General features: G+C 39.7%; 2 annotated features.

Moving 5' to 3' along the window:
- Positions 6,334 to 6,423: a silencer, noted in NCBI's record as "silent region_17278". NCBI's record gives its function as "represses an Ori minimal core promoter by ATAC-STARR-seq in GM12878 lymphoblastoid cells {active_cell/tissue: GM12878}" and the evidence as "EXISTENCE:reporter gene assay evidence [ECO:0000049][PMID:35858748]".
- Positions 7,648 to 7,848: a silencer, noted in NCBI's record as "peak5855 fragment used in MPRA reporter construct". NCBI's record gives its function as "represses an SCP1 promoter by STARR-seq MPRAs in K562 erythroleukemia cells {active_cell/tissue: K562}" and the evidence as "EXISTENCE:reporter gene assay evidence [ECO:0000049][PMID:32103011]".

Genomic DNA, 19,985 nt, shown 5'->3' on the forward strand with positions numbered 1-19,985 from the left:
GAAAAGGAGTCCTTTTAAAAATAAGCTTCTTATATTACAGACATTCCTCTGGCTCCCGGCATTTCCAAGTGGCAAATGGCACTTCTCGGCACTCTCTACTGAAGCTCATCATTGTGTTTTATTCATCACCACACATACATGTGCAAGGATTGAGTGTGCTGGGGCATGAGGGTATGAGAGGGGGTGAAAAAGAGTGGAGAAAGAAGGATGGAGGAGAGTATGGTGGAAAAAGAAAGGTTTTATTAAAAATACCGAAAGCAAATACTGCATTCCTGAACCGTATATTTTCCAAAAAACTAGTTGCATGTTGGCAAGTAGCATCTTTTTATTTAATCCACAGAATGCTTTTCAATGAAGAAAAAGGAATCCAAAACAGTCCCAAGGGGAATTGGCTTGAAGAATTATCAAGAGGCAAACATTTAGAACACAAAAACCCAGTGGAGAGTGTAAACACTAAAAAAATTCTCTGTGTGTTACTAGTTTCAAGTATGTCTCTTTGTTATCTTATTTTCCTCTCTCACTTCTCTTTGTCCCTCCCTGCCTCCATCTCATTGGGTCTCCCTGGGAGGCCCTGCCTTCATTGTGTACATCATAACGAGTCACAATATCATCAGACTGGGCCGAATCTCTGAGCATCACCCTCAGGAGGGAGCCTTGGTTCCCTCAGTCCCAGGGACCCCACCTAGCCCAGTCCCTCAATCATTTGCAAGAATGTCGCTGAGTCCTTCCAGCCAGAGCTGCCAAGCTTCAAACTGCTAAAATAGTGGAGGAACTGAGCCAACAAACTTCCCTCTGCATCAGCTTTAGGTGGGAGTAGGGGGAGGTAAATAAAACCAGACTAGGAAAAAGCCAAGAGCATCCGGGAGAGCTGACATGACCATGAGCTGGAGCCTGTGTAGAGCACCCTATTTCCACGGAACTCACCCAGCATGTGTTGGTCATCATTTATGCCACTCCTACTTCCCCCAAAGAACACAGACTGTAGACACTTGGTATTACAGTTTTGACTCTTCATCAGTGACTCCAAAAGCCCATGACGTAGTCATTTATAATTTAACTAAAACAGAAATCTGTGCTCCCTCTGAGGCTGTTGTGTAGAAGTGAGTCATTTAGGAAGTGAGTGAGTCCCAACACGCTGCCCTGCATCTGCCTCTCAGCTTTAAGGTTCTCATTTCATTCACCATTTCATTTAATCCTGATAAAAACCTAGCAGATGGCTGTCTTTATCTCCATGTTGAAGATGATGAGCTGGCAAAATCAAATGCTACAATCAGGTACTTGAGATTTAGATAGTCTCAAAGATTTTAGAGCTCTTAATAACAGAGAGTCAGAGTATGGTCTGAAATAAGTACATGAGAGAAGAACCCAGAACTTGGGAAAAGATGGTCACTGCTGTCAGGCATTAAACCTAGCCATGAGCTTCCTGGCAGCCAAGGCAAGGAGGAAATACAAAAATGTTCAACCAACTAAGTAGCTTACCATTTCAGTCTTTATGATATTGCTTACTGAATCATCTATATTTGGTTGGTTGTTAGATAGAGACATGCTGAAAAACACTTCTTCAAAGAGTCAGGGCCCATCAGAGTTTGAGCTTTTGTCTCATGGGTCAGTTCCCTCACTGGAATCCAAGTGACAAAACTCACCATTCACCTCATACTAACATATCAGTGCTACTAAAACATGTGTTGTCATCAGTGAAATTATTTACTTCAAAGGTTTATCAAAAAGGGACTACTTCTTAGGGTTGTTTTTATTTTTAAAAAAATTACAAAATGGTGCTAAATGTACCCCAAAAAAATGCCTCAATGGATGGCCAAGAAAAGAAACAAGAGAATGCACTAGTAGCCAGCAGGCCAAATGATCATAAAAATTTCCAAGGACCATATTCTTCTTATTAATATGTTTTTCTTATAAATGTATTTGTTATAAATATAATAATAAAACAAGAATATTGAATGAACATAAATGGTAATCTAAAACTACCAAGAGCCCTCTACAGGTGAAAGCTACCAAAACAGAGTTAATACTCACTTTAAAGATTGTCCAGAAAATAGAAAAAGAGAAAACGCTACCCAATCCATTTTAGGAGACTAGTGTAATCTTCATTCTGAAACCATTTACAAACTATACAAACAAGAAGATTTTTCTCTCATTCGTAGTTTTGAATATGAATGTGATCACCCTGGGTAGAATACTTGCTGATCAAATCCAAAGAGTAATAGATAATAACATATCATGATCAAGAAGACTTCCTCCCTCAAGAAATACAATAGTTCATTTTTAAAATCTGTTAATCTACCACACCAATAGATTAAAAGAGCAAAATCATCTCATTATTTCAATAGGTGCAGAAAAGGCATCTGATAAATTTCATCAACTATTTATAACTTTTAAAACAACTCTTAACAAACTAAGTTGATATTTCAAGTTGGTAAAAGTTATACACCAGAAATTAGGAGCAAACAACACTTCATAGAGAAACTTTGATGCATTTTCTTTAAGATCAGGAACAACGTAAATAATCCCCCCCAACACACACACACCCACTACTGTTTCAAACATGGAATTAGAAGTCTCAAACAGTATTGGGTAGGGGAGAAAAGGAGAAAAGAGGTTTAAACATTGGAAAGGAAGATATAAAACTACCATTGTTTGTAGATGGTATGATTATCCCACAAATAAATACCAACAGAATCAACAGATAATCTATTAGAAAATAAAAAAATCAAAAAGAGAATTCAGCACAGTGGATGGATACAAGATTGGGCATTAAAAAAAGCAATAGCATTTCTTTAACATCAGCAATAACCAACTGCAAAATACGTTTTGAAAATTAGATACCATTTGGAGTTGTACCAAAACTATGCAGTATTTTAATTGAGAAGTTCTCTTTAAAGAAAACTTTTAAACCCAATAAGGGACACAGAGAATGATCTGAATACATGGAGAGGCATTCTTTGGACTGGATGGTTGATATCATATAGCAGACAATTCTTCCCATTAACCTGTATATTTAATGTAATCCCAAATGAAATTATATTTGAGTTACTTTTTTTAACAGACCAATTACATTTAGTCAGAAATTAATGAAATAATAAATGTCAAAAGCTGGTTAAGTCAACCTATAAAACAAGATAGGTATCTTGCCCTAATAGATACTAAAACCTACAATAAAACCATAGTTTAGTGCAGTATTAATACAAAACAGAACAATAATGAAAAATATTAGACAGACTAGGGACAGTTCCATATACACAGAAAAACTTAACATAAGATTTTTTAATAGTCCCATAAATCAATGCAGAAAAAAATGCAGTATTATGAAGATGGTGTAGAGAAAATTGGCTCATTTTATGGAAAGCAATGAAACCAGATTTCCATCTAACATCACATACAAAGGTAAACTCCAGGTGGAGTACAGTTAAATGTGAAAAGTAAAGCTTTAAAGTTAATAGAAGAAAATGTAAAAGGACACCCTTGATGCCTAGTGAAGAAGCACTTTTTAAAATCTCCAACCATGAAACAAAAATACGGATGAGTTTTATTATATCAAAATTATGAATTTCTGTTCAATAAGGAATACCCATGCAAACACCAACAAATAGACTATTGATTCAGAGATCTTTTCAAAGTATAAAACAGGTACTGTAAGTCTAAACAACTAATATTTATAATATACAAGTAAATCCCACCAATAAAATGAAGAAATCCAAAAAGCTAACAAGCCTAAAAAGAAATGTTCAAAGTTAGTTATAATCAGAGAAATACTGATGAAAACAACAGTGAGATATAACTTGACTAGTAGATTTGCATAACATCTAGAGCTGGCTATAAGAACTATCACGTACTTCTGGAGGGAAGAAAGACCGAAGAGAGCTCTGACACATCTCCCTAGAGTAGATATGACCAGACTTTGTGACTCAGAATTTCTACTCCCATGTATATAGCTTAAGTAAGTTCCTATCGAGACCATAAGTGGCATGTACAAGGATATTTATTTGTAGTAGAAGCAGAGGGGGAGTTGGCAGCAAACTGAAATCCATCCCTGAAAGAGGGGCTGGCTGAAATGCACAGCATACACACCATGGGGTCAGAAACAATGGTCAAGGTGTTCATGGAGCAACTTGGATTGCCCTTATAGCAATATCATTTGGGTAAGTTTAAAAACATCAGAGGATGTATGGAAACGCCTGGATGTCCAGGCAGAAGTCTGCTACAGGGGCAAAGCCCTCATGGAGAGCCTCTACTAGGGCAATGAAGAGGGGAAATGTGGGATTGGATCCCCCACACAGAGTCCCCACTGGGGCACTGCCTAGTGGAGCTGTGAGAAGAGGGTAACTGTCCTCTGGATGCCAGAATGGTAGATCCACTGACAGCTTGCACCATGCACCTGGAAAAGCTGCAGACACTCAATGCCAGCCTGGGAAATTAGCCACGGAGCCTGTACCCTGCAAAGCCATAGGGGTGAAACTGCCCAAGGCCTCGGGAGCCCACCCCTTGGATCAGTGTGACCTGGATGTGAGACTTGGAGTCAAAGGAGATTATTTTGGAGCTTTAAGATTTAATGACTGCCCTGATGGCTTTTGGACTTGCATAGGGCCTGTAGCCCCTTTGTTTTGGCCAATTTTTCCCATTTGGGATGGGAGCATTTAGCCAATGCCTATAACCCCATTTTATAACACCTTGGAAGTAACTAACTTGCTTTTGATTTTACAGACTCATAGGTGGAAGGGACTTCCCTTGTCTCAAATGAGACTTTGGACTCGGACTTTTAGGTTAATGCTGGAATTAGTTAAGATTTTGGGCAACTATTGGGAAGGCAAGATTGATTTTGAAATGTGAGAAAGACATGAGATTAGGGAGGGGCTGGGGCAGAATGATATGGTTTAGCTCTGCGTCCCCACCCAAATCTGATCTCGAATTGTAATCCCTGCATGTTGAGGGAGGGATCTGGTGGGAGGTGATTGGATTATGAGGGCAGTTTCCCCCATGCTGTTCTTGTGATAGTGAGTTCTCAAGAGATCCGATGGTTTAAAGGTGTAGCACTTCCCCCTTCATTCTCTCTTTCTCTCCTGCTGCCACGTAAGACATGCCTTACTTCCCCCTTACCCTTCTGCTGTGACTCTGAGTTTCCTGAGGTCTCCCTAACCTTGAGGAACTATGAGTCAATCAAACCTCTTTTCTTTATAAATTACTCAGTCTCAGGTAGTTCTTTATAGCAGTGTGAAAATTGACTAATCCACTTTCCTTTTAGGTACTTTCCATAGACAAAGGTCTTCACAATATTTTAAGCAAATTATAAATGCATATTATGAATATGCCATAGAAACAACTGTATTTCAAACTGTAAGGCTGGAGGCATTTAAATAAAATGGAGTTTGTACTGCTTCTCTCCTGAATATCAGTGGAACACTGTCTTAGTGACTCTCTCCACCTACTGTTGCTTAAGCATATTCTGTCCACCTGGTGTTTCTGACAGTCCCACAAAGAGTTTGGCCCTATTGTTTCTAGATTCTCTTTCAGCCATTACAATGTTTGTGGAACCAAAACCTTAGTTAGAAGACTGTCATGCAAAAGAAGTGAAGGAGGTTGTATTGATTGGATTTTCAACTGCACCAGCCAAACACCTACTTCCTTCTCATCCTTCTCTCATGTATGTTGAACCTCTAGCTCATCATAAGGCCAGGCTTTAAGAACAATGATCCTGTCCAATCCCATCATTTTATATAAGAGAAAATGGGACCCAGAGAAGGGGAATATGACCAAGGCCAGACTAACGTAAGTCTCTCTTGAAACAAGAAAGTATTATTAACTAGGTAGCATTAGAGCTAAAACTCAAAACCAAATCTCCCACTTCTAGTTTATTCTCCTTGTTGGCCATCTTAGCTTAGTTGTTCATTGTAAAGCAGTGGTTAAGAGCACAGGCACAGGAATCAGATCTCTTGGAGTTACAATTCTGACTCTACCATTTATCAGTGGTGTGATCTGTGCAAGTTACTCAACCTGTCAATGCCTCAATGGTATAAAAAGAAGATAATAATGATATCCACTTCATAGAAGTTTCATAAATACTAAATAAGATAATCCATGTGAAGCACTTACAACAGATCCTGGGCTTTAGTACAGTTTCAATAAATATTGGTTATTATTGTTATTACCTGAAGAAAGATGACCTAAGGCATTAGTTTATTATAAATCCTAGTTCTGTCAAGAAACTTAATCATATGAATCTTAATTTGATCATATGCTAGAGGCAAACACAGTCGGAATCCATTTTGCCAAATATCAAGAGAACATTACTGTTCAATGCAGAAGATTTCTGCCATTCCTCAAATTTGCCACCAGATGACAGCAGTTGATAATAGGAAAGACAGCTCAGGTATGACTTGACTAATGCTTCCTCCTTTAAAATAAAAGCACCCTTTACAACCTTTGTAAAGCCCTCTTAAAGAGTCAATTTCCTTTCCTCACTATAACTCCGTAGGGGAGAAAAAGTAATATTCTTTTCTCAGTCCCACAAGGGTCATGGCTGACATCCCTATAAAAAAAGACACATTAAAAAAAGAAATGTATAACAAATTTAACAAAGTTTTACATGAGTCTTAAGAAATGAAGACCCAAAGACCCAGGGAAAATTGTGGATGTTTATGTTAAGTCTGATGAAAGAACTGGATGGTTGTGGAGAAATGTGATTGGACAAAAAGGAGTAGGATGTAATGGTAATAAACAAGGGGAGCTCAACAAGGCCTGTTTGTTCATATTCTTTTCTGTCTCTGTAGGACATTCATTCCCTGCAGATACAGGGCAGGACACCTGTCGCATAAGGACCAACTAATAAACAGATCTTTAGTTCTATCAAACAGCACCCAAGAACCAGTGTTCTCTCTCTGAAGTCCCCAGGTCTGAGAATGATCCAGGGATTGCATCACCATTGCATCACATAATTCATGTTTAATGCATGTGTTGGCATATGTTGTCTTTTCTACTGTCTTATGAATGATTTTTATGTTATTGTATGCCGAAATGATAGCATTTTAGATAAATTTGGTTAAATAAGATATATTGTTAAAATTAATTTCACCTGTTTCTTTTCACTTTTTTAAAAATTTGAAATAATATATATGTCTCTCATTATATCTCTATTACTTAGTGCTGTTCTAAAGGAACTACATTCAGAGAGTCACCTTATCAGGAAAGAGCCTGAAACAGAAGATTTGGCCCCTCACATACACTCCTTGGTGCTATGCCTTTGTGCTTTGAATACATAAGTTGCTTGAGCTTGAACTAGAACAAGACACAAAAATTGGCTCAAGATTTCTTAGCTCAAAGGTGAAATCCATGTGCAGCAGATAAAAGATAACTGGCTAGGGAGTAGGATAGCAGGAAGCTCACCCGGTCATAAACTAACTTAGCCTTGACTAAGTTGTTTAATTTCCTTACACCTGCTTCCTCACCCAGGGTGGGCTAAGATACTTCCTAAGATGCATTGATATTGTAAGTTTCATGATTAAACCAAGCTACCAGGGTCCATTCTCTTCCAGGTTATTGAAAAGTCAGTCCATGCTCACAGATTCAGCAAGACAAAATCAAGGCTTTGCCCTTTGTGACAAGGAGGAAGAGGGTGGACAGACTGTGGGAGGACCAGCACAGAGCCTTCACTCTCTGGGAGAGACAAGTTCTGCACACTAACTCATCATCTACAGCCGATCCACTTGGTTGTTCACACACACCCTCCCCACCCACATCCCATTATCTGACCAAGCACAGATATGGACCTGGCCTCCAGCCAATACCCACTGAAAAGATGACACTAATCTCAAGAGCACTTCTTCAACCACTGAGCAAATAGTGTGCATACACTGTTCACAAGGCACAAGATTGATGCTGGGGAGAGCATGGGAGCAAGATTGAAATATTGCCTACCTTCAGGGAGCCTAAATTCCAGCAGGAGAAGAGACATGTAAGAAAGGGCTGGACAGATAATTACTTAGTGTGGTACAAAGTAGGAAGAAGAAACACCGAGTGTGAAGAGAGCTTAGAATAGGGTCACCCATGCTGTCTGGATAGTGTTTCTGACATGCATGGTAAGCCAATGTGGTTGAGTAGTGAAGAAATTGGAATCCACGTGCAGATGGTTGGGTTCAAAGTCCAAATGTGCAGCCTGCTAGTGATGAGATTTTGGCCACACTGTTTTAGGCATTCTACTCTTTGTTCTTCTCACCTGAAATATAGGGATGATACTAATAGTATCTACCTCCAAGGTAGTTGGAAAAAGTTAGTGGGTCAATACAGAACACCAATGGGTCAGTTAGAAAATGCCTGGCAAGTAGTAACACTACTTCCCAAAGGTTTGTTAATTATCACTGGAGATTCCAATGGAGTTTGGAGATTCTCAGATATCCATTCATAGTTAAGCCCATTTTAGAGACTTTCTTTAGTCACAGCTAATAGAAGATTCTACTGGGGACCTGAGCCAGTCTCCCAAGTACAGGGTCCTCCCCTTACAAATGTTAGCCTCCCTCCAGGTAGTCCCAGGTGTCAGCAGAGAAGCAATTCCTTCCATACGTTTCCAGACCCAGAAAAATTGCTGATAATTCACAGAAGAGGAATAACCAAGAGCTAATAAACAAGAAAAATTGCCCAACTAACCAGCCTCCAAAGAACTGCAAATTAAACAGCTAAACACAATTCGCTGTGTATCAATTAATGAGATTTTTGCCTTTATTGATGTCAATGTTGTTTTTTTCTAATTTCAATTGGCTTTTATAATTCTATTTTTATTTTTTATATTTTAGAGACAAAGTCTTGCTCTGTCATCCAGGCTGGAGTGCAGTGGTGTGATCAAAACTCACCCCTGGGTTCAAGGGATCCTTCCGCCTCAGCCCCCTGAGTAGCTAGACTACAGGTGCACACCACCACACCCAGCTAAATTTTTTATTTTTTTGTAGAAATGGGGTCTCTCTATATTGCCCATGCTGGTCTTGAACTCCTGACCTCAAGCAAACCTCCCAGCTCAGCTTCCCAAAGCACTGGGATTATAGGCATAAGCCACTGTGCCCAGCTTCATTTAGATTGATTTTAATAATAACAATGCCAGGAAGGGTTCAATGAAACAGATAGTTATCATTCCTTTCCTTCAATAATTAAATAATACGTATACTAGAAACTGTGCTGTCTTTGTCAGCTAGTAGGAGTATAAATTAGAAACCAGGTGTTCAGAAAGCAATGTGACAATATGTAACACAGCTCCCAAAAATGTTCATACCCTATACATTTCACTTTTAGGGATTTTGTTTGTTTGTCTGTTTGTTTGTTGTTTTGAGACAGAAATCTCACTGTTGCCCAGGCTGGAGTGCAGTGGCGCATCTTGGGTCACTGCAACCTCCACCTCCCAGATTCAAGCAATTCTCCTGCCTCAGCCTCCCGAGTAGCTGGGACTACAGGCACCTGCCACCATGCCTGGCTAATTTTTGTATTTTTAGTAGAGACGAGGTTTCACCATATTGGCCAGACTAGGGTCCTAAGAAAATAATCCAAAGTGGAGACAAAGATTTATGCACAGAGATGTTTATTACAGTATCATAGTAGAATACTAGAAATAGTCTAATTACTCAATAATATGAAAATGTTAAACAAGTTATGGTGCAGACACACAAAGTTATTTTAGGTATCCATTAAAGATTTTTACAAAGATTTTTAACAGTATATGGAAATATATATCCCATAATTTAAAATTTTAAAAATGTCAGGCATAAAATTGCATATCCAGACTATCTCAACCACTTAAGACAATTAGACATAAAAAGAGGGAAATACACCAGAAAATTAGTAGCATTTATCTTGAGGTGATAAGTTATAGGTGGATTTTACTATTATATGAATATTTTTCTACAGGTTCCACTTTTTCAAAATGTGCATAGAAGCGTTGCTTGCTTTCGTGTTACTCCGAGCCAATGGCAATAAGCATGGGCATGTGACTGCAGATGTCCAGGACTGCAACTGGAGCTGAATTTGGAAGAGTAGCTTCAGATCCTGGGGTCTCTAGTCAAGGCTACAAGCCCAGGATTTAAGAATAGCAAAGACTGTTCTCTGAACACACGATAAAGGAGGAAGATTTCTCTCCTTTGTCCTTTTGACACTCCGTTCTACACCCTTTTGTCATTCTACCCTTTCCCCACTGCTTCCTCTCCTCAATTTCTGGGTGCTCTTAGAGTCACAAGAAAGACTTATCAAGTAACCCACACCACCATGTGCACAATTTCACATCACTCTAATTTTTCTTTCTTTCCTTTTTTTTTTTTTTTTTTTTAGACAGGGTCTCTCTCGGTTGCCCAGGCCAGAGTGCAGTGACACTGTCTCAGCTCACTGCAACCTCTGTCTTCCAGGCTCAAGTGAGCCTCCCACCTCAGCCTCCGGAGTAGTTGAGACTACAGGTGCACACCACCATGTCTAGCTAATTTGGGGAGTTTTTTTGTTTTTTGTTTTTTCTTTGTAGAGGCAGGGTCTCACCATGTTGCCCAGGCTGTACTTTCATATTAATAAAAAGACAGTTTCAGGAAATGGCAAAGCTTGTCTGTAGGCAAAGAAATGTACCTTGGACAATGTCCTTTCTAGCACTATAGGACTGCCTGGTGAGAAAAATATGACAATCTGACTATGTTTTGAAGATACTGTGGACCTAGCCCCTCCTAAGTGCAAATACAGCCTGGACTTTGGCAGCTGAAGTTTTAAACCTTCTATTTCAGAACAGAGAACCCAGAAATAAAGCTGCACACCTACAGCCATCTGATCTTCAACAAAGTTGACAAAAATAAGAATGGGAAAAGGACTTCCTATTCAATAAATCGTGGTGGTGTAACTGGCTAGCCATATGTAGAATAATAATACTGAACCCCTATCTTTCACCATATACAAAAATTAACTCAAGATGGATTAAAGATTTAAATTTGAGACCTTAAACTATAAGAATCCTAGAAGAAAACCTAGGAAATACCATTCTAAACATCAACCTTGGGAAATAACTTATGACTAAGTCCTCAAAAGTGTTGAAACAAAAACAAGGATTAACAAGTGGGATCTAATCAAACAGAAGGGTTTCTGCATAGCAAAAGAAAACTATCAACAGAGGAAAGAGACAACTTAGAACAGGAGAAAGTATTGTAAACTATGCATCTGACCAAGTTCCAATATCCAGATTCTGTAAGAAACTTAAATCAATAAGCAAAAAGCAAATAACCCCATTAAGAGGTGGGCAAAAGACATGAACAGACATTTCTCAAAATAAAACATACAAATGGCCAATAAACATATGAAAAAAATCTCAGCATCACTAATCATCAGAGAAATGCAAATCAAAACCACAATGAGATACCACCTTACAACAGTCAGAATGGCTATTATTAATATTAAAAAGTCAAAAACAACAGATGCTGGCAAGGCTTCAGAGAAAAGAAAATGCTTATACATTGTTGGTGGGAATGTAAATTAGTTCAGCCACTGTGGAAAGCAGTTTTGAGATTTTTCAAATAACTTAAAACAGAACTACCATTCAACCCAGCAATCCCATTACTAGGTATATACCCGAAGGAAAATACATCATTCTACCAAAAAGGTACATGTACTCATATGTTTATTGCAGCACTATTCACAATAGCAAAGACATAGAATCAACCTAGGTGCCCATCAACAGTGGATTGGATAAAGAAAATGTGGTACATATACACTATGGAATACTACGCAGCCATGAAAAAGAACAAAATTATGTCATTTGCAGCAACATGGATGCAGCTGGAGGCCATCATCCTAAGTGAATTAACACAGGAATAAAAAATCAAATACTACATTTTCTCACTTATAAGTGGGAGTTAAACATTGAACACACATGGACGTAAAGATGGGAACAACAGACACTGAAGACTGCTAGAGGGAGGAGGAAGGGAGTGGAGCAAGGGTTGAAAAACTAACTATTGGGTCCTATGCTCAGTACTTGGGTGAAAAGATCAATCACACCCCAAACCTCAGCATCACACAATACAGCCAGGTAACAAACCTGCAGGTGTATCACTGAATCTAAAATAAAAATTGAAATTATTAAAAACAAAAGCAAAAACCTTCTGTTCCGTTTCCCTGTGGGCACCAAAAAGTTTTCCCTCCCCTGCATCATCTTAATCAGTCTCTAGTCTCTAGTCCCAGAGACCCTTGGATGGGTCTCACCTCACCCAAATATGGAGTGAATCTCATTAAAGAAAAACGAACTGCTTCAGTTTTCCTCAAACCCCACCTCACTTCAGTCTCTGTTACAGCATGCATTAGTTCATTTTCATGCTGCTGTTAAAGACATACCCGAAACTGGGAACAAAAAGAGGTTTAATTGGATTTACAGTTCCACACGGCTGGGGAAGCCTCAGAATCATGGTGGGAGGTGAAAGGCACTTCTTACATGGTGGCAGCAAGAAAAAAATGAGGAAGAAGCAAAAGCATAAATCCCTGATAAACCCATCAGACCTTGTGAGACTTATTCACTATCACAAGATCAGCCCCCATGATTCAATTACGTCCACCTTGGTCCCTCCTATAACACATGGGAATTCTGGGAGATACAATTCAAGCTGAGATTTGGGTGGGGACACAGCCAAACCATATCATTTCACCCCTGGCCACTCCAAATCTCACATCCTCACATTTCAAAACCAATCACGCCTTCTCAACAGTCCCCCGGTCTTAACTCATTTCAGCATTAATCCAAAGTCCACAGTCCAAAGTCTCATCTGAGACAAGGCAAGTCCCTTCTGCCTATGAGCCTGTAAAATCAAAAGCAAGCTAGTTACTTCCTAGATACAATGGTGTTACAGGTATTGGGTAAATACAGCCATTCCGAATGGGAGAAATTAGCCAAAGCAAAGGGGTTACAGGGCCCATGCAAGTCCAAAATCCAGTGCTGCAGTCAAATTTTAAAGCTCCAAAATGATCTCCTTTGACTCCAGGTCTCACATCCAAGTCACACTGATGCAAAAGGTGGGTTCCCATAGTCTTGGGCAGCTCCACCCCTGTGGCTTTGCAGGGTACAGCTTCCCTCCTTGCTGCTTTCACTGGCTAGGGTTGAGTATCTGTGGCTTTTCCAAGTGCAAGGTGCAAGCTGCCAGTGGATCTACCACTCTGGGGTCTGGAGGACGGTGGCCCTCTTCTCACAGCTGCACTAGGCAGTGCCCCAGTAGAGACTCTGCATGAGGGCTCCAACCCCATGTTTCCCTTCTCCACTGCCCCAGCAGAGGTTCTCCATGAGGGCCCCAACCCTGCAGCAAATTTTTTCCTGGGCATCCAGGCATTTCCATACATCTGAAATCTAGGCAGAGGTTCCCAAACCTCTGTTCTTGACTTCCGTGCACCCACAGGCTCAACATCATGTGGAAGCTTCAAGCCTTGGGGCTTCTACCCTCTGAAGTACCTTGGACCCTTTCAACCTAGGCTAGAGCAGCTGGGACACAGGTCACCAAGCCCCTAGGCTGCACACAGCACGGGGACCCTGGGCCCCGCCAATGAAACCACTTTTTCCTCCTGGGTTCCAAGCCTGTGATGGGAGAGGCTTCCATGAAGGTCTCTGACATGGCCTGGAGACATTTTCCCTGTGGTCTCAGGGATTAACATTAGGCTATTTGCTACTTATGCAAATTTCTGCAGCTGGCTTGAATTTCTCCTAAAAAAAAATGGGTATTTCTTTTCTACTGCATTGTCAGGCTGCAAATTTTCTGAGCTTTTATGCTCTGTTTTCCTTTTAAAACCGAATGCTCTAAACAGCACCCAAGTCACCTCTTGAATGCTTGGCTGCTGAGAAATTTCTTCCACCAGAAACCCTAAATCATCTCTCTCAAGTTCAAAGTTCCACAAATCTCTAGGGCAGGGGCAAAATGCCGCCAGTCTCTTTGCTAAAACATAACAAGAGTCACCTTTACTCCAGTTCCCAACAAGTTCCTCACCTCCATCTGAGACCACCTCAGCCTGGACCTTGTTGTTCATATCACTCTCAGCATTTTTGTCAAAGCCATTCAACAAGTCTCTAGGAGGTTCCAAACTTTCCCACATTTTTCTGTCTTCTTCTGAGCTCTCCCAAACTGTTTCAACTTCTGCCTGCTACCCAGTTCCAGAGTCGCTTCCGCATTTTCGGGTATCTTTTCAGCAATGCCCCACTCTACTACTGGTACGAATTTACTGTATTAGTTCGTTCTTATGTTGCTGATAAAGACATACTCAAATCTGGGAACAAAAAGAGGTTTAATTGGACTTACAGTTCCACATGGCTGGGGAGGCCTCAGAGTCATGGTAGGAGGCAAAAGGCACTTCTTACATGGCAGCGGCAAGGGAAAAATGAAGAGGCAAATGCAGAAACCCCTGATAAACCCATCAGATCTCATGAGACTTATTCACTATCACAAGAATAACATGGGAAAAACGGGCCCCCATGATTCAATTACCTCCCCCTGGGTCCCTCCCACAACACATGGGAATTCTGGGAGATACAATTCAAGTTGAGATTTAGGTGGGACACAGCCAAACCATATCACAGCATCAGATCTAAGATCCACTTACCTAATCAAGCAGGTCCACAACAAACTCTTCACTCATCTGCAGCTACATGAGATTAAGAATGCTGGAGTGTAGCTTTCTAAGAGGGTTCCCACAGTCTCAGGAGATAGTTTTTATTATGGAAGCATGTACTATTTCTAATGACCAGGAATGTGCCATGTAAACCACAGCCTCTGGGGCCCGTTAGCCTGGGGCTCAGATACCTGAAAGGTATCCAAGGGCATCTGAGGCCTCTTAAAGCGTCGCATGCAAGAAAGAGGATTATTTCCTCCTCAGTTGTGCCAAGATGCTGGTATTCTGCAAACTCCTACATCAGAGACATCTGAAGAACAAAGCTCACAATTATACCCATTTTCAAAAGATCCTTAAAATTTTGAAAAAAATTTTGTATTTTCTGACCATTTTTCCTTTCCATTTGTATTAATTCACCTTAAAGAAATAGCTTTTTAAGAAAGATAAAAAATTATAAAATATTTATTACCGTAACAGTGCAGATTTCATTTCAGTTACAATTTCATTCCTTCTTATATTTCCAATATTTAGCTTTGATACATTTTTGGGCTGTCTTTTTAATTGCCATGTTGTTTGAGATATCAAATCAAAGTCATTATATTTTTATTCAATATATATTTCTCATTACATGCTATTTTACTTATACTTCTAAGACCACATTTCTATGCCATCTGCTAACCTTTCATCAATTTTTTTTATTTCTTCTAGGGATTGTATTGTCAGATTATTAACTTCAATCAGAAAATCTTTTCGTAGGGAAAATACAACCCTTTTACTTCTCTCATCTTGTCGATTTCTCATCAGTAAGCTATGATCTCTTTTCATTTGCATAGTTTCTGTTAGTAAACTTGAAACTTTATTTCCTTAGAAAATAGGTCATAAGGGCCAGGCACAGTGGCTCACCCCTGCAACCTTAGCACTTTGGGAGGCCAAGGCGGCCGGATCACTTGAAGACAGGAGTTTAAGACCAGCCTGGCCAACACGGTGAAATGCTGTCTCTACTAAAAAAAAAATATATATACATATAAATCAGTTGGGCATGGTGGCGTACACCTGTAGTCCCAGCTTCTAGGGAGGCTGAGGCATGAGAATCATTTGAACCCAGGGGGTGGAGGTTGCAGTGAGCCAAGATCTTGCCACTGCACTCCAGCCTGGGTGACAGAGCTAGACTCTGTCAAAAAGAAAGAAAGAAAGAAAGAAAGAAAGAAAGAAAGAAAGAAAGAAAGAAAGAAAGAAAGAAAGAAAGAAAGAAAGAAAGAAAGAAAGAAAGAAAGAAAGGGAAAGAAAGAAAGAGAAAGAAAAGAAAGAAAGAAAGAAGAAAAGGAAATAGGTCATAAAATAATCTTAACTATTAAGAATCCATCTATTTTTACTAACATCCAATGATTAGTAAGCTGCAACCCAGCAGTTTAAATTATAGTATTAACCTATTTTGTTAACTCACCAACACTAGATCATTCTGTCAGTTGATATAAACTATGGATTCTTCTTCCCTTAATAATCTTAATAATATCTCTTAATAAAGAAACTATGTACAATGAACTTCCTCCTCTTGCACTTATTTGTATTTGAGTGCCTGAAACCTATTAGACATTCTCCTTTTGTACCTCATAGTTGTAATACGGATCTAATTTACCAATGAATTCTACTTAGTTAAATTTGAATTCATTTATTTCTGAAGTGTCTCTTTATTAAAAAGCTGTACTTTTATTATATTTAGCATATGGAATTTAAGATACATTGTTTTAGCTACTTTGCTTTTAAATATATCTTTCTGCCCTTAAATATAATCAATCTCAATTCTCAGTATCCAGCATTTTTAACTGACTGCAGTGAATTGATCACATTCTCATCAATTAGCAATTAATTGACTAAAGATGAAGAACCATGGCTTAGGAAGTTTGTATAGTTTATTTCAAACAGCTTAGATTGTAGAAGAGCCATGATTACAACCCATGTATCTGACTCCAAATACCCTAAAAGAGCTTAGAATATTACTGGAAAATATAAACACTCTCACAAAGAGAGAGAGACAGAAACAAATGTTAAAACCCCTTTTTTTAAACAAGTGGTACATGCAATATGTGTCCTCAACTGGAGTGTATGGTGGGGGATTATTCAATGAAATCTTCTCAACCTCATCCCTAGCTAAGAAGACGGCTCCAGGAGGAAAGAGTGAAAGATTAGTCAAAGGTCAGCAGAGATAGCCCCATGGATTTGAATGGGATCACAAGACAGGTAGGTAGGCTATGGATATTGGGTGTGGGAGTGCTGTAAGTGAAAGACTTTTCTGGCAAACATCAATCATCAGAGCTGCAGAAAGGGAGTTCTTCTCACTGCCAGCTGCGCCATCTTGCTTTCCATCATTCAGCTAAGACAGACCCTATCACCCTCCCCCCATACCCTACCACTTTCCTAAGTTGCCTCTTCTTCAGAGTCACATCTTCAAATCATCTTTATCAAGTATTAAAAGGAAAAATCACAATAAATAAATATGAAAGCAAAAAAACTGAACATACAAGATGGCAGATATGAAACTTAGATAGCTAAACTCTAGTCACAAATTTCTTAACCAAGAAAATGTTCTAAAGACATACAGGTCCCTGCACGTCTTTTCATCTACAAGGATACCCCTGCCTGAAATTATTTTAGGGGGCCTTGTTAAAAAGGAGATTAGTCCTTTCCGGAATTCAGTTTTTAGTCTTTCAAGGATGCCCCACATTCCCTTCCCCCAAACTAGTCAGTTGCATCCTACTCCCAAAATCAGTGCTCTGAATCAGCCAAATCTGTGATTTCCCTAATCTCTGGCCTCTTTCGGTGACAAAAGTCCTTTTCCAATCTGGGCCTAAGAAGTCCTGGGGGACTCTGACCCTCTAGGGGTTCTAGGATCATCTTGTGTGTGTTCTCCTGGCCTGTGATAGTGCTTGGCTCAGCATTTAGTGAGACGGCTTCTTCACCTTGAATTTCCCCAAGCGCAGCATCTAAGCAAAGACTCCATCACTGTGGTATAGCATGAGGTGGCAAGTTTCATGTTGGTCTGGCTCAGTCCCAACTTCCCACACTCTTTTGGCCAAATCCCTAATTAAATCTGTTTGCCAAATGTCCTTTGTCTTTTAATGAGAGCTGTGGATTCACCCCCTGAAAACAAATGCACACACACATGAATCTTTGCATGTGATTTTAGGAGGTTCACAGGTATTTGGAATCTCATTCATGGATTTTCTAGAGATCCATGGACTCTACTTTAAGAACCCCTGTCTCATAACCTCCCATCTTTCCCAGGTTCTGGTCTAAGGAAACCATACAGTACCTAGCTTGTGTGTAAGCACAGATGTCTCATAGCTGCAAATCTCATGTCATCAATCTATCCTCTCAACTCTGCTTTCCTACGATGGACTAATAACAAAAGTTGAAGCCTTTATCATTGCAGTTTTCAAATCATGGAGCCATACAACCGTCAAAAAGAGAGGGACTGTCTACTCTCTGAAGAAATAATTTACAGGAGAAAAGACATGGAGAAACAATGGGATCACTTTGAAAGACAGAAAACTAGCTGAACAGAAGCAGAGCTGGAGTTATAAAGGACGAGGCTAGGCAAGAAGGGCAGCCCCACATGCGGAGGCCTTGATGTAAAACTGAAAAGTCCAAGCTATCCTATAATAATTTTACTTAGGAAAACCTTTGAGGAGAGCAATGGCTTAGAAAGATGGATGTGGTTTTGAGGAGCAAGATGGACAGCAAGGACGAGGGTCTAGAAACCAGAAAGTCCATAGCAGGATGTGGTGACTAAGGTAAAAGCATGAGGGAGTGGGGGTCTGAACAAGGATAGAAAGAACTTCTCCAACTACATAGCAGAACTATAGAGAATCAATAGGACTCTGCAGCAAATTGAAATTGGTGACAAGACTCAGAGGGAGGTAGAAGGGGAACAGGAAAAGATAATGAAAAAGCTTTGAGCCTAGTTGATTTTGAAGATACTGCTTAAGGATAAAACAAAACAATTAATGGGATTTGCAACTGGAATTAGTTCAGTTAGAAATGAAGATAAATTTCCACTGCAATTGTAGCATCTCTTTCGCTGAATTGTTTAGATAAAGCATAGATGCTTAGCAAGTTTCTAACACCTAGCAAATTGACTGGATACGCTCTCAGGACAATTTCTATTTTTCATTCTGTAAGTCCATGAGTCTAAAGCCATATAGACATGCTGTCCAATGCTGCAGATGAAAAGTGAAAAATCAGCCCACCTGGATATTATGGTACATAACTAAGTTATATTTGTCAACTACTAGGCAAGGCATTCTAATGAGCTGGATTTTTCTTTCTTCAAATGTCTTGTTATTTCACGAATCCACCCCATGTGAAGCAATCTCCTACTTACAGTGACAGCCTGGGCAGGTAGAACTTATTTCCTGTATATTCCGCAATGCATAAAATTTTGAGCTTCATCAGAACTCATTATTGTAGATGATGCTTAAAAATAATACTATAGGCCGGGCCTGGTGGCTCACACCTGTAATCCCAGCACTTTGGGAGGCTGAGGCGGGTGGATCACCTGAGGTCAGGAGTTCGAGACCAGCCTGGCCAACATAGTGAAACCCCATCTCTACTAAAAATACAAAAAAATTAGCCGGGCGTGGTGGCAAATGCCTGTAATCCCAGCTACTCGGGAGGCTGAGACAGGTAAATCGCTTGAACCCGGGAGGCGGAGGTTGCAGTAAGCCGAGATCGCACCACTGCACTCCAGCCTGGGCAACAAGAGCAAAACTCCATCTCAAAAAATAAAATAAAATAAAATAATAATAATACATAATATTTATGATTCTGTCCAAAGAGCATTATACACAGTATCTACTCTAATCCTTACAGTAACTTTATGATGTAAGTGCTATTATTATTATTGCCATTTTAAAGATGAGGGGTTTGAGGCTTAGAGAATATTAAGTACCAAGGTCATGTAGCTACTAGGCAACAGAGTAAATCCAGGTGCGTTTAACTCCAAAGCTTTTCTATTAGTGTGTGAACAGTTTGAGTGTGTCTAAGCCAGTGGTCCTTGTAAAACTGTATATTCCCTGCTGCTCTTTTTAAAACTAATTCTTCAATAAATGTTTATTAGATGGATAGATAGGATGGTTGAAAGGATAGATAAATGGATGGGTGGGGATGTTTGATGAATTAGGACAACCAATGGACAATACATTTCTGCTAAGAACCAGGCTCCCAAACAAAAGCATTTGTAGAGCCTTCCTGTTTGTGTACCAGGTACTCAGCTGAAGTGCCTCTTCTAGCAACAAGCATAAAGGCAGGAGATAAGTGTGTTTCTCACCTGTGTCAAGTGGTCTGTCAACCACTTCCCTGATGGCTATTAACTCATCATCTCCAGCAGATGTTGT

Source organism: Homo sapiens, chromosome 6 (assembly GCF_000001405.40).
Source record: "Homo sapiens chromosome 6, GRCh38.p14 Primary Assembly".
Taxonomy (NCBI): Eukaryota; Metazoa; Chordata; class Mammalia; order Primates; family Hominidae; genus Homo; species Homo sapiens.